This window comes from Homo sapiens, chromosome 12 (genome assembly GCF_000001405.40).
Source record: "Homo sapiens chromosome 12, GRCh38.p14 Primary Assembly".
Lineage (NCBI taxonomy): Eukaryota > Metazoa > Chordata > Mammalia > Primates > Hominidae > Homo > Homo sapiens.
The window spans coordinates 121,084,887-121,099,927 of NC_000012.12; the positions used below are offsets into that span (position 1 = coordinate 121,084,887).

General features: G+C 48.9%; 1 long non-coding RNA gene across 2 annotated transcripts in view, besides 1 other annotated feature; it reads right to left on the reverse strand.

The window, feature by feature from the left end:
• LOC105378258 (uncharacterized) overlaps positions 1 to 8,109 on the reverse strand; it is a 33,706-nt gene extending 25,597 nt beyond the window's left edge. For both annotated transcript variants that reach the window (XR_007063492.1, XR_945451.4), the window contains exon 1: positions 1,118 to 8,109. This is a non-coding gene — a long non-coding RNA (uncharacterized LOC105378258). The remainder of the gene's footprint in view (positions 1 to 1,117) is intronic.
• Positions 8,198 to 8,699: an enhancer, noted in NCBI's record as "H3K4me1 hESC enhancer chr12:121530887-121531388 (GRCh37/hg19 assembly coordinates)". NCBI's record gives its function as "activates a minimal SCP1, AML or CMV promoter by ChIP-STARR-seq in naive H9 embryonic stem cells {active_cell/tissue: H9 hESC(naive)}" and the evidence as "EXISTENCE:reporter gene assay evidence [ECO:0000049][PMID:30033119]".

Consider the following 15,041-nt stretch of genomic DNA (forward strand, 5'->3'; position numbering starts at 1 on the left):
AGAGAGGCAACATGGAGGGTGACAGACGGGGGAAGGACAGGGCCCTACTATTCCACATGGGCATGTGCACGACACTTTACACCTCCTGGATGGGCAGAGCAGGGGCTGTAACATTTACTTTATGGTTCAGGGCACTGAAATTGACAGAGATTCAGTGACGTGCTCAGAATAGCAACACTGATGAATAATGAAGCTCAGGCAGGGAATTTAGTTGGCTCCCAAGGGATGGAGATCCCTGAACACCTGAGACTGAGGCAGGAGATCAACAGGACTCACTTTCTGAGCAACTATCACAGCCCTGCTGATGAAAACAAGATGTAGCAAAGAAACCAGCCCAAACCAGCTAGGACTAGGAATTCTATTGTATACTCTTGAGTCACCCCCACCAGGGCCATGACAGTTTACAAATGCCATGGCAATGACCCGGAAGTTACCATATGGTTCCGGGACTCCTGGTTCTTTTCCAGAAAATCGTGAATAGCCCACCCCTTAATTGGCATATAATTAAGAGTAGGTATAAATAAAGCTAGCCATCATGCCACTGGTGCTACACGCCTCTGGGACAGCCCTGCTCTGTCTGTGGAACAGCCATTTTGGCAGACACTGTTGTTCACACAAACTTGCCGGCTTTCACCATTGGCTGGCTCTTGTTTCCTGAGCAAATCCAAGGACCGTCATGGCCTAAGGTCCAATTTTGGAGTTCGCCTGCATCAAGACCATTAGATCATGCCCTGGACGCTGAACCGAGGAACCTCCTTACTCCTTTCCCAAATCCTCCCACCCCCACGGCTGCTGCAGGGAGACACTGTTGCCTGGAGGAGGTGCTTGGCCCAAGAGAAGGGCCCAAACCCTGACTCAACTCCCAGCTTTACATTTCAACCCCTGACCCAAGATGTGATGACTTTCCCCCAAATGAAGCCCTGCTGAATGCGTGGGGTCCAAATTTGTGTCTGTCTCCCACCACACTTGACTCTGTGGTTGCCTTGTGAAGAGACTTCCCTGTGGTCTGGTGACTGCCCTGAATGACCAGTAGCCTCCTTGACTCCCAACCGACTCGGAATGCAGGAGGTCCCCCACCAACTGCCCACGTGACCGTTGGACTTTGAATCAGATTCACCTTCAACTGACCAAACCGGGCTGCTGGGCAGTGCAGATTCTTTCAATGAAAAAGCGGCCTGCTGGGCTGGGGCTTGGGCAGCGTAGGGAGTGAAGCCGGCAAGCTGCCAGGGTCTCAGTGCCTCCTCTTGATCACAGCAGCTGCCCCAGCAGTCTGGACTCAGGCCTGGCTGAGAAGAGGCAGTGGCTGCCCCAGCTCTGAGTGGGCGCCTCCCTGCTCCTGTCCTTCCTCACCAAGACTCAGGCCCTGCTGTACAAACCACAGCAATGATTCCAATCTCCTGATAGCTTCAGGTCCAGGACGCCTTCAGTGGAGGAGCTGGCAGGTGGTGATGTCTGAGGCTCCTCCTGCCTTTGCCCAGATGCCGACGGGATGCTTCTGGGAATGGCCAGGAGGTTTTCTTCAGCCCAGATCACTTTTCTGGCATAGTCTGGATTTGAATCTTCCATGATCTGTTCTTGTTGTATCTCTGAGCCATGAGCTTTGGAAAAATGCATTGAAAATAGAGCCCCCTGTTGATACGGTGCAGGCAGGAGACGGTGGGCAGGTGTTCACCTTTCCCAAGTCACACTTGTCTCCAACAGCTGCCTCGGGGAGCAACCGAGTCAAAGCTGGCTTAGCGGGAGGCGTCCTGAGGTGCTGTGAGCACTTCACATAACACCCGGATGATTGCGTGGGGACGTTACTCTAATGAGACAATTCAGGAGGGCAGCTGAGCTCAGTGACTTAGAGCAAGTGGCAGGTGCCTGATGTCCTGGGCTCAGATCCTACCTAGAAGCAGACCCAAACGAAGCCAACAGAAAAATGACTGACACTTCATAAGTGCTAGAAAACTGCTCAAATACATAATGTCTGAGGGAATGAAGGAGATCTGTAGTAGTGGTTGCCTCAGAGTGGCTACAAGTCACGAGTCACTTTCCAGCCTTTCCATGGGCAGGAACTTCTAGCTCCTGAAGAGGATCTGTTGTCATCCCTCATGACCCTCACAGGAGCCCCGTGAAGTGGGCGGAGCAGGGCTGTGACCCACATTTTACAGTTGAGGACACTAAAATTGACAGGGCCTAAGTGACATACCCAGAGTCACAACACTAAGGAGGGACGAGGCTGAGCCGGGAACGTAGTTGGTTTCCTGGAGACGGAGATCCCTGAAGCCCAGTTTCCTCTAGATCATGCCCTGGGTGCCTGACCCAGGGCTTCCCTCACCCCATTTCCCAAATCCTCTTGTTCCAGGATTACTTTGGAGAGAGGTGATGTCCTGCAGGAGGTGGCTGACACAGCCTCCTGCATCTATGTTGTAATCCTTGACCCAAAATATGATGCAGCTGACCCCAAATGAAGACCCTTTGAAGGATCAGGGTGTCCAATCTGCGCCACTCCTGCCCCAGCACCTTCACACCATGAGCCACCTCAAGGTGAGGCTTCTGGATGTGCCAGCGACCACCCTGAATGACTAGTGTCCTTCTTGACTCCCCACTGGCTCAGAGCTCAGGACTCCCATGCCAGCCACACCCATAGGACAGAGCCTCCCAAAGAATTCGCTTCACTGTAACTGACAAACTCTTACGAGCAGGGAAGGCGAGTTAACTGGGGAGGAGGCCTGCTGGACTGGTGCTCTGCTATCTCAATCAGTGAAGCCCGTCAGCCCCCTGCTTCCCTTTCCCTTTATGGACTAAAGATCTGAGCAGCTGTCTGAGCATCCCCGACTCAGGCCTGGCTGGGAAGAGGCAGTGAATGCTCCAGCACATCATGGGCACCTCCTTGCTCACATTCTTCCTCACCAAGACGCAGGAGGTGCTGCCAAACATCACCAAAGACTTTGGAGTTTTACTGACGCAAAGGCAGGAAAGACACGGTTTTCCGGGAAAGATCATTTTTAAAAAATCACAGCAAGAAAAGATGATGACAAACACTGCACACTCAAAGCCCAGAGGCACCAAACCTCTCCCTATTGAGTCAGTAAGGATGACAAGGACAAAGCAGCCTTCCATACACGTTTCCTTTCACTTTCTAATTTCATCCCCCACTTCCTCAGTCTCTAAGGCAGCAGGCCAACCCCAACTGCTACAGGCACCCTCCTTCGTTGGGTCCCTCCTGGGTTGTTTTAAACCTGGAGTGTCTTCTTCATCACTGCTTGAATCATGTCTTCTGTTGACAATGGAGTCTCTAGAGACAAAAGTGGGAAGACAATTATTCCAGAGGAAGGTTCATCCATCCCTCCTCCTCCAGCTGAGGTCAAGCTGGATCACACAAGACCACCCTGCTCTCTCTCTTGGTCTGTTCAACCCTCCTTTAACTCTGTGGAGTCCAGAGTCTCTAACAAGACACAGCTCACGGGTGCAAACCCTCAGGAGAGAGCACCCCCATCATCTTCCCACTTCCGCATTTCCGCTGGATCGTTAGAGCTCGTTCCTCCAGTCCCATTCACCTGAAATTCCAACTTTGATGCACAGGTTTCTTAGTTAGATGAGTTCCATGAACAGACCCCATGCCAGGCTCAGAGCAGGTTCCCAAGAGTGTGTTCTGTGTGGATGGAAATGTTCTCTGTGCTGTTGCATAAGGTGGCCGCTGGCACAAACTCTGTGGGGCACTGGAAATGTGGCCAGTGTGAATGAAGATTGGAATTTCTCATTTTATTGTGATTAACTGCACTAATGAATGAATGAGTTATACACAGCACCTCCAGGCTGGGATTCCCACGCTAGATGCTGCAGCTCTAGAGATACAAACATGAAAAGGACATGACTCCCTCCCTGGGTGTTTCCTTGCAGTGGGGTTGGGTGCTCTGATCCCATCATTCATGTGTGGCTTCTGAGGGCCTCTGCAAGGAAACAGGATTTTTTTTAGCACCTGCACAAGGGCCAGGCACTGTGTGAGATATGGGGATACAACCATGAGGACAGTGCCTTGGCCTAGAGGGAAGCCGTGGGGAGGGGGTTACACTTGCACACAGAGAAGTGAAACCAACCTTGTCTAAACAGCATCAGAGCAGAGAGACCCCAGGAAAATGGACATCCCAGGGTCTGCAGGAGCCCACCCTCACCACCCTCTGACTTGGGTCAGATCCTGGGAAGACGCCTCGTTCAGTGAGAAGGTCCAACAGGCTGAACAGTGTGAGGAGGGAACCTTTGCCCACTCGAGCTAGAGCCCAGCCCAGGGGTGTTTTCATGAGACCTTCATGTGGCCTAAGACAGGCTGCCCAGGGCTGAGCGCTGTGATGAGAGGAAATGCGGAGGGCACATTCCTGCCCCTGCACTGAACAGCTGCAGCCGCATTGCGGATCCCCATGAGTGCGAGGACTCAAGAGTTTGGGCCTGAGAACTCTAAGACCATTTCAGAGAAAATCTCAAACCCACGTCCTCTGGGCTGTGAAACAGAGGATCAAGGATGATCTGGGCTCTGGGATCAGCCTCCATCACTTTGCTGAGCTTGCCCTGAACGGGAGCCGGTGCCCTCGCTCCTTCCAGGGAGCTACAGTGTGAGCAGCTGCCCTGGCCAGGTGGGGCCACACTGCCTTCAGTTTCAATGCACTTCTGGGCCAGGCAATCTTTGGCTAGTGCTGTCTACAGAGGGCGCTTGACAGGCAACTTCCAGAAGCAGGTGGAAGATGGAAACTGGTTTCTGTCCAGCCCCAGAAAGGTCAGTCTGGGAACTTCTGTGTGTCTGGCCTGACCTTGACAACCATCCCTGCTGAACTATGAGCCCCAGGAAGGTCAGTCTGGGAACTTCTGTGTGTCTGGCCTGACCTTGACACCATCCCTGCTGAACTATGTCCCCCAGTCTGGCTCAGAGGACCGGAAACCTGATTCCTACTCTCTGCCTCTCGCCAGCTTCCAGGATGGAAAGGCCTGCTTTGTCACACAGCATGATGAAGACGCCCGTCCCCAGCTCCTGTCACAGCTTCAACAGGAAGGAACTACCCTCTCTTAAGAAATGTCAGCGATGTCCATGCAGGGTCACTCCAGCCAGGACCGTCCCCCCTGCTCTTTCCCACTTAGAAGGAGCAGGAAAATCATAGGACTCAGGGGATGATGATGTCATGAGTCTCCTGACATTAAAACCCTGGAATCTATCCTCCCCAACCCCAACTCACCGGGCCCGGGGACCCTTGTGACTTCCTTCTATCCCTCTATATCTTCTCCCTCTGCAGGCCCAGCCTGGGGCCGGAGCCCTGCCTTCTCCCACAGAGTCCACTGAGCGGCCATCTCTGGATTCCTGGAGTCCTTGATCTTGTCGTCACTGCTTTTAGCATTGAGGTCCTCACCTTGGGTTTTTTCTCAAGCACCACTGGGAAACTGTGTTCTAGAGAGTAAGAAATGTCTAGGACAGCCTTGTTATGAGAAGCATGTTTCTGTAGGCAAAAGTGACCCTTTTCAAATGGAGCAGTCTCATCTTTTTGCTTTGTGGGGATAAATATCAAGAGGTCAATTGCAGGCTAATGGATTTCTATGATGATACAAAGCATTTCACGTGGTGTTCATGATCCAAATGGTTCCTCAAGCCATAGTATGCCTCATTTTACACCTACTTTTGCTTAAGCAAGAATCCTGTTTTCTTGCAAAGGCCCTCAGAAGCCAGCAGACACCTATTTCACCCAGGAGGTTCGGCAGGGAATCGGGTGGGGATTTCTTTGTCATTACACTGACTTGATCTTTCCCCACCCTGCAATGCACAACCTAACATGTCCTCCTCCTAGGAACAGAGCCATGTGCCTGCCCTGATGCTCAGCCATTGATGAAGCCCCTTTGTCATTTTACACAGTGCATGTGGCCCAACCACACAGAAGCCGTGGCTGGCAGAGGTGATGATGGGAGGCAGATTTTCCACATTCTTGGCAACATTATCTGTAGTGAAACTTTAGACTTCAGTTGAGAAGGTCGCTGAGTGCATGGAAGATCCTTCTTTCCCTGATTTCTACCAGAACTGGCTGGGCAGTGGCTGCAGGGTTACTGGGAAATTTCAAACTTGGGGTGGAGCCACAGGACTCCAGTGCAGGGGGCTGCTGGTGTCCCTGGTCCAGGCCTTGCTGACACTGGGGGGCGTTGGAAGGGCCTGGGCAGATGGGAAGAAGCTCCCACTGGAGCCAACAAGAGACCTTGCAAGGAAAAGCTGGGAAGGGGGAGTGGCGACCATGGGGTGACCTCAAAGACAGATGCTGGCAGTGAATGAATATTGCTGAGGAGGATAAGGCCGTCTGAAAAAGCTGCCTACTCCATGATTCCAAGCCTATACAATTCTGGGAGAGAAAACTCTAGACACAGTGAAAAGGATTCTTGTTGCCAGGGCTTCTGGCAAAGGGGAGAGGGATGCACAGGGGAAACACAGGAAGTGTTTAAGGCATGCAGCTACTTCGTATGGGTGGTGAATGGCATTCGGAGTTTGTCACAACCCATAGAGGGCACAACACGGTGAACCTCCATGCAAACTCCTGACTTCAGATCGTAAAAATGTATCCATATTGGTTTAGTCATTGTTACACACATGGACCACACCACTGAAAATGGGGTTAAGAAAAGAAAAGGGTGGACAAAGGATCTGAGACCTTTCTGTTCTGTCTGTTCCATTTTCATGTTAATTTCAAACTGTTCTACACAATGACTATTTTAGTCAAGGTTGGCAACACTCTTTTGAGTGGATGTTTAACACTCAGGTGAATGTGTCAACATAAGATTGAGACGTTGCTTTCCAGTAAAATGGTACCATCCTTTAAATTGTAAATACATCTTTACTTCTACAGTTGCAGAAACAGCAATGACTTCATTTTAGATGTGTGTAGATGAACTGCAAGAAGACTAAGGCGTAACAGTGTGAGAGTTCTGACTTCAGTACGGGACACAGAACCCCCTAGAATCTTGATGATTGAATGAACTTCACTGACTTTCCACAGCACCTTCAATGGATGGTTTTCTGGGATGAACTCAATTGTCTGCCCAGTTGTGGGTTTTTCTGACCCACTGCGTGGGGCCAGCAATAGACGGTGCTGACTCCTTGGTAACCACTGTCAGATCCTGGAGGCAACAGCCTCCCAAATGTATGACGATAAAGACAGCTGTTGACATCTTGTTGACAGGATTTATGAGAAATTCATACAAATTGATTCACACTTCAACCTTTTGATTCTCTTGGGATCTTGAGAGATGTGGCTGAGCCCAGAGAAGAGCTCATCTCAGATGATGTTTAACACTCACCTGAATATGTAACATTAGATTGAGATGTTGCTTTCTATGAAAAGTGTCGCAACTTTACATAGTATGTTTCTTTTCTAGTTGTAAGACTAGTGATTGACTTAACAATTTAGATTTTTCACAGATGAACTCAAAGAAGACCACAGCATAACAGTGTTAAGAGTTTTGTCTTAAATATGGGACACTGAACCCACCAGGAACCAGGATGATTGAATGAGCTTAACTGATTTTCCACAGTACCTTCAACTGATGGTTTTTCCCGCTGCACAGAATGGTGTGGCCAGCTGTGGATTTTTCTGACCCACGGCCTGGGGCCAGCCATAAAGTGTGCCGACTCCTCAGGAACACTCTCCTACCCTGGAGTCAACGTTCTCCCAAGTTATTACAAGGAAGACATCTTGCTGGGAGAATATCATAGAGAAACTTACAGCAATTGATTCCCAGTTCAAACTTTTGACCTTTTTCACCATCTGCATAAGAATCCACCTGAATCCGAGTAGGGCTCTGGGAAGCCCCTGCAGTGTGTGTTGCACTTAGTACTCAGCAGACTGTGTAGGCAAATACCTGCCTTCAGAGGAGATGATATAGAGAGGCAGCAAGTACTGTGTCCGGAATTGGTGGGTTCTTGGTCTCACTGACTTCAAAAATGAAGCCGCGGACTCTCGTGGCCAGTGTTACAGTTCTTAAAGGCCCCCTGTCTGGAGTTTGTTACTTCTGATGCTCGGATGTGTTTGCAGTTTCTTCCTTCCGGTGGGTTTGTGGTCTCGCTGGTTCCAGAGTGAAGCTGCAGACTTTTACAGTGAGTGTTACAGCTCATAAAAGCAGCGTGGACCCAAAGAATGAGCAGTAGCAAGATTTATTGCAAACAGCAAAAGAATAAAGCTTCCACACTATGAAAACGGGTCGGAGCGGGTTGCCACTACTACCTCTGGCAGCCTGCTTTTATTCTTATCTGGCCCCACCCACATCCTGCTGATTGGTCCATTTTACAGAGAGCCAATTGGTCCATTTTACAGAGAGCTGATTGGTCCGTTTTGACAGGGTGCTGATTGGTGCATTTACAATCCCTGAGCTAGACACAAAAGTTCTCCAAGTCCCCACCAGAGTAGCTAGATACAGAGTGTCCATTGGTGCATTCACAAACCCTGAGCTAGACACAGGGTGCTGATTGGTGTGTTTACAAACCTTGAGCTCTATATAGAGTGCCGATTGGTGTATTTACAATCCCTTAGCTAGACATAAAGGTTCTCCAAGTCCCCATCAGACTCAGGAGCCCAGCTGGCTTCAGCCAGTGGATTCCGCACGAGGGCCGCAGGTGGAGCTGCCTGCCAGTCCCGCAAGGTGCGCCCGTGCTCCTCAGCCCTTGGGCAGTCGATGGGACTGGGCGCCGTGGGGCAGGGGGCAGCACTTGTCGGGGAGACTCAGGCAGTGCAGGAGCCCACGGGGGCGGGGTGGAGGTTGGGGAGACTCAGGCTCAGGCATGGGGGGCTGCAGGTCCCGAGCCCTGCCCCACGGGGATGCAGCTAAGGCCCGGCGAGAAGTCTAGCACAGCAGCTGCTGGCCCAGGTGCTAAGCCCCTCACTGCCCGGGGCGGCGGTGCCGGCCGGCCGCTCCGAGTGCAGGGCCTGCCGAGCCCACGCCCACCTGGAACTCGCACTGGCCCGCAAGCGCTGCGCGCAGCCCTGGTTCCTGCTCGCGCCTCTCCCTCCACACCTCTCCACAAGCCGAGGGAGCCGGCTCCAGTCTTGGCCAGACCAGAAAGGGGCTCCCACAGTGCAGCGGCGGGCTGAAGGGCTCCTCAAGTGCCGCCAAAGTGGGAGCCCAGGCAGAGGAGGCGCTGAGAGCGAGCGAGGGCTGCTAGCACGCTGTCACCTCTCACTGGGGGGCCAGGCAGTCCTGCTCTTATCCCAAGTCAGTTTCCCACAGGAGGGATCTGCCCAACCTAGTGCTGGCTTTTTCAAGTGCTTCCTTTGCATATTCTAAATCAACTCAAAATGGATTAGAGACTTCAATGTAAGACCTGAAATCATAAAACTACGAGAAGAAAACACAGGGGAAAAGCTTCCTGACGTTGCAAACCGTACATCTCATAAGGAGGCAATATCAAGAATATATACGGAACTCATGGAACACAGTAGCAAAAAACAAATCACCTGATTGAAAATGGGCAAAGAACCTGAACAGATATTTATCAAAAGAAGACATATAAATGCCCAACGGGTGTATGAAAAAGTGCTCAACAGCACTAATCATCAGGGAAATGCAAATCAAAACCTCAATGAGACATCACCTCACACCTGTTAGAATGGCTATTATCCAAAAGAGGAAAGATAACAACTGTTATTGAGGATGTGGGGGAAAGGGATCACTGTACACTGTTAGTAAAAATGTAAACTTGTACAGCCATTATGGAAAATAACATCCATCCACAGATGAATGGGTGAGGGAAACGTGTCTACGCAATGGAATATTATTCAGCTCCAAAAAAGAAGGAAATCCTGCCATTTCCAACAGCCTGGATGAACCTGCTATGCTAAGTGAGATAAGTAAGCACAGAAAGACTAATACTGCATGATCTCAGCCTGGTACAGTGGCTCACGCCTGTAATCCCAACACTTCAGGAGGCTGAGGCAGGTGGATCACCTGAGGTCAGGAGTTTGAGACCAGCATGGCCAACATGGTGAAACTCCATCTCTATTAAAGATACAAAAATAGATTGTGGTGGTGCACGCCTGTAGTCCCAGCTACTCGGGAGGCTGAGGCAGAATCGCTTGAACCCAGGAGGCAGAGGTCGCAGTGAGCCAAGATGGCACCACTGCACTCCAGCCTGGGCGACAGAGCGAGACTCCACATCAAGAAAAATAAATAAATAAATAAATAAATAAATACTGCATGATCTCACTTATATGTGGAATCTAAACTAACCAAACTCATAGAAGCAGAGAGTAGAGTAGAATAGTCGTTGCCAGGGACTGAGGGTTGGAGAAAACGGGGTGTTGTTTAATGGGTATAAAGTGTCAGTTATACAAGATGAGTAAGTTCTGGAGATGTAACGTACAGCGTGTAACAACACTCTGTTGTATACCTGAAATTTCTTAAGAGAGTAGATCTTAAGATCCTTAACCACCCCACCTCCAAAAAAGAAAGAAAGTGGTAACAATGTAAGATGGTGGGTGTTTTAGTTTGCGGTGATCATTTCACAATGTGTATTAAATATCCGGTTGCCCACTTTAAATATATACAATGTTTACTTTTCAAGCATATTCAGATAAAGCTGGGGGAAAACAAACAGCTTTCTGGGGCCATTGTTTGCAGACCCCTGAGTTAGGGCATTGTGTGATGGCTGGGTCAATTTCACTTCAGCATGGTAAGAGGCACGTGACAAAAACTGGCATGAAAGGGGCTGTTGGAACCAAGGGGCAGGAAAGGGCTGCCCTATAGGATCCGCCAGAAGACAGACCGGCATTTCACGAAGTGAGCAAATTCCGGAGGAAATAAAGGATTTCCGTTTTAAGGGGTTGGGAGGCAAGAGAAAAGGCTGAGAGGGTGTGTGTGTCTGAAATGGGGTCTCTGGGTGAGAAAACGTGTGAGATAAAGTGCGAGGCTGGAAAAACGCGCACGTGTGCAGGAGGCGGGGATCTGCTGCACCGAGTGTGCACATTTGCACGAACCGTGGGGGCGTCTGCGGCTGTGGGTGGAGAGGAAATCCTGGATCACACATCTGAGAGAGGGGGTGTGGGTGGGAGTGGGAGAGTATGTAAGAGCGTGGGTCGTGACAGGTGAGGGACTTGTGTGTGCAACTGTGCGTCCTGCGAGAGTGAGGAGGTCTCGGACTGAGGAACTGCGTTCAGTGCTCAGTGGTGAGTTCCCACGCAAGAGCCTGGGGAGTCAACCAGAAAGACCCGCACGCGGGGCGGGCCCAGCGACCTCGGGCGCCATCTGCTGATTACCAGACGCCACTACCTGAGAAAGGCCCCTCCAGTCTCCTCATTGCCCAGCTGCGGACCCTAAGCTGAGCCATAACCGTCCTACCAACCCACGTCAGCAGAAGAGCCCAGTGGGAGGGCGTGTGTTCACTTCTGCTCCTCTGGGCAAAGACGCCCAGGTCAGAAACACCCACCCGACCCTCCCACTACCCAGAGACAGCCCCACCTGCACAGCTCAGAGCAGGACCACTGACCCTCTGGCTCTCCGGTCATATTTGCTATTGAAGACCAGAATAAAGTATTTTTATCAGGATTGAATACATGACTCATGAATGAATAAATTCATTCTCCTTACATATCGGTTCCTATTGAGAAATATGGTGGCTAGAATTTATTTCCTCCGGAAAGAGGAATAAATGTGGAGCCCCTGGGTTTGGTGCTATTTATTACCCATTTCTCTGATGTTGTAAGAAAAGAGAGATTCAGAAGAAATATCACATTTCAGCCCCGAACTTACGTAGCTTGCTGCCGTTCTAGGTGATTTACTTAGATTGGCTTCTGCATTTTGACAAATGAGGAAATTGGGAGAATTAAAGCCTCTGGTTTTAAAGCCTGCTGCTGGGTCAAGTAGAACTGTGACTTTTATTTTTTTTTTTTTAGACAGAGTCTTGCTCTGTTGCCCAGGCTGGAGTGCAGTGGCACAATCTCAGCTCACTGCAACCTCCACCTCCCGGGCTCCCTCAGCGATTCTCCTGCCTCAGCCTCCCAAGCAGCTGGAACTACAGATGCCCACCACCACGCACGGCTAATTTTTGCATTTTTAGTAGAGGTGGAGTTTCACCGTGTTGGCCAGGCTGGTCTCAAACTCCTGACCTCAAATGACCCACCCACCTCAGCCTTCCGAAGTGCTGGGATTACAGGTGTGAGCCACCGTGCCCGGCCCAGAACTATGACATTTTGTTTTTGTTTTTCTCTGTTTCTTTGAAAAGAAATGGAGTGAAGGTGCAGAGATATGAGATAAATTATTTAAACACATTATTATTATTGTTGTTATTATTATTATTATTATTATTATTATTATTGAGTCGGAATTTCACTCTTGTTGCCCAGGCTCGAGTGCAATGGCATGATCTCAGCTCACTGCAACCTCCACCTCATGGGTTCAAGTTATTCTCTTGCCTCAGCCTCCCAAGTAGCTGGGATTACAGGCATGCGCCACCACGTCGGGGTATTTTTTTTTTTTTTTTTTTTTTTTAGTAGAGATGGGTTTCTCCATGTTGGTCAGGCTGGTCTCGAACTCCTGACCTCAGATGATCCACCCACCTCGGCCTCCCAAAGTGCTGGGATTACAGGCGTGAGCCACCGCACCCTGCCTTAAACACGTTATTAAATCAGTAAAATGAAGGGCCTGACAAATAAATGACCACTGAGCTAGGATGTAGAAGACCAAGGCCTGGAAGAAGGGGAGTCTGCCTCTTCTGTCACTGGTGAGCTACGACCTTCCCTGCAGGCACACCCTACGCTGTCCTTCAGGCTGGCTCTCCATGCCCTCGGGGGCCTCGGTCCAAACATCTGGACAAAGGCCCTATGAAAGGACCTCTAACAAAATATTTTCCACCATATTCAGCTAGAGTTGCATGTTTTTCTATTTTTCCTAATGAGAACATAGGACTTGAGAACTGATCATGTGTCTTCGCTTTAATTTGAAATGATCAGAATAATCTGAAAAAAACAGAACTATTGTCCAGGAAATGAGAGAGAACTGAATTCAGTCACTTAAATATATAATCAAATCCCTTCCCCAGCCTTCCCCCACATGTGCTGGTTTTTTCATTCTCACTCTTCAAACTGATCACCTATTAATCATCTAAAACCACAACAAAATGCTTTTGAAAACTTTTTAAAAAGAAGTGCATCTCATTTTATGTAAGTTGTGATGTAAGAAAAATAGTAAGATTATAAAAATATTTTTTACTTTTGATACAGTGACTAGCAAAGGTAAAAAAAAAAAAAAAACATAGGACATCGAAGGGTCAATTCATTGTCTGGGAAGAGGTTTTGGATTTATTTACCAAGCTTCTAAACATGGATCTTCCTAATCATAGAGAAAAAGCCCTTTCAAAGCAGTTGTTGTAGGCCGGGTGCAGTGGCTCAGGCCTGTAATCCCAACACTTTGGGAGGCTGAGGTGGGTGGATCACCTGAGGTCAGGAGTTTGAGACCGGCATGGCCAACATGGTGAAACTCCATCTCTATTAAAAATACAAAAATAGATTGTGGTGGTGTACGCCTGTAGTCCCAACTACTCTGGAGGCTGAGGCGGGAGAATAGCTTGAGCCTGGGAGGTGAAGGTTGCAGTGATCGCGCCACTGCACTCCAGCTTGGGCGACAGAGACTCCATCTCAAAAGAAAAAAGTGTGGTCTAGTGAGGGTGATTTTAAACTGATTAGGTTTAATTCATTTCCTTGATCTAAATATGAAGTGTTTTTACTCTGTGAGCAGAAAGTTTTTGAAACTAGTTCATGAAGGTGAGTCCAGTGGTATTTTTCTTTTTTACTTCTCAGCCTTCTACGAAAGGCAAATATAAGACAGCAAAATCCAAAGAATGGAGTTATTAAGGCTGCAAGTGGAGTCCGAGGCCAGTTCCATGCCAGGCATGGTGCGTGCACTGAGAGACAGGGATCCTCTGCTCCAGGAGCCGAAGGCACATGCTGTTTTGCTTACTACTGAACTCTACTACACATTTAAAGAAGAACCATTACCAATCCTACTCAAACTCTTCCAAAAAACTAAAGAGGAGGGAACACTTCCAAACTCACTTTACAAGGCCACCATTACCCTGATACCCAAACCAGACAAGAACACAACAACAAAAAAAAGAAAACTACAGGCCAATATTCCCGATGAACATAGAGCCAAAATCCTCAACAAGATACTAGCAAACTGAATCTAACAGCACATCAAAAAGACCATTCACCATGATTGTTGATGGCTGATGCAAGACCTCAGTTCTTGTCTTCTTAGTTTAAGAAAATTTAAACAGACTCACAGCAAAGGAGATGCAACATAGAGTAATTTATTGCAAAAGAAAAAGACTATTTTGGGCTAGGTGCAGTGGCTCACACCTGTAATCCCAGCACTTTGGGAGGCCGAGGTAGGCAGATCACCTGAGGTTGGGAGTTTGAGACCAGCCTGACCAACATGGAGAAACCCCATCTCTACTAAAAATACAAAATTAGCTGGGCATGGTGGCACTCAGGAGGCTGAGGCAGGAGAATCACTTGAACCCAGGAGGCAGAGGTTGCGGTGAGCCAAGATCGTGCCATTGCACTCCAGCCTGGGCAACAAGAGCGAAACTACATCTCAAATAATAATAATATTTTGAAAGTTTGGTGCAAAATAGATAATATACCCTGGGAGAGAGAATTTTGTTGCTCATAAGGGCGAGACAGCAAAAACTGGCACTAGGAAGACTCTCTTTATGGAAGTCTTACACGATTATTCATAAAGGGTTGGAAGAGGTGTTGGTAGTAAGCATCTTCTGGGTGGTCCTCTTGCCCATGCACAGTAGCTGTACATGATTGTTCATACATTGCATGTCTCATTCGCATCTTAAATCTCCACCCAGGGGTGGTTTTTTTTACTATTATAATGAGCAAAGGGTCAGTTTGAGGACAGGTAAAATCAAACTGTTCATGCTCTCCAGAGGGGAAAGTCCCTACTGAAGATAGCTTTGCTTGAATGAGCTCAATTACAATGCAAATACTGAGGCTTATTGTGTTGACTGTATAGTCACCACAGTTACTGCATCCTGAGAA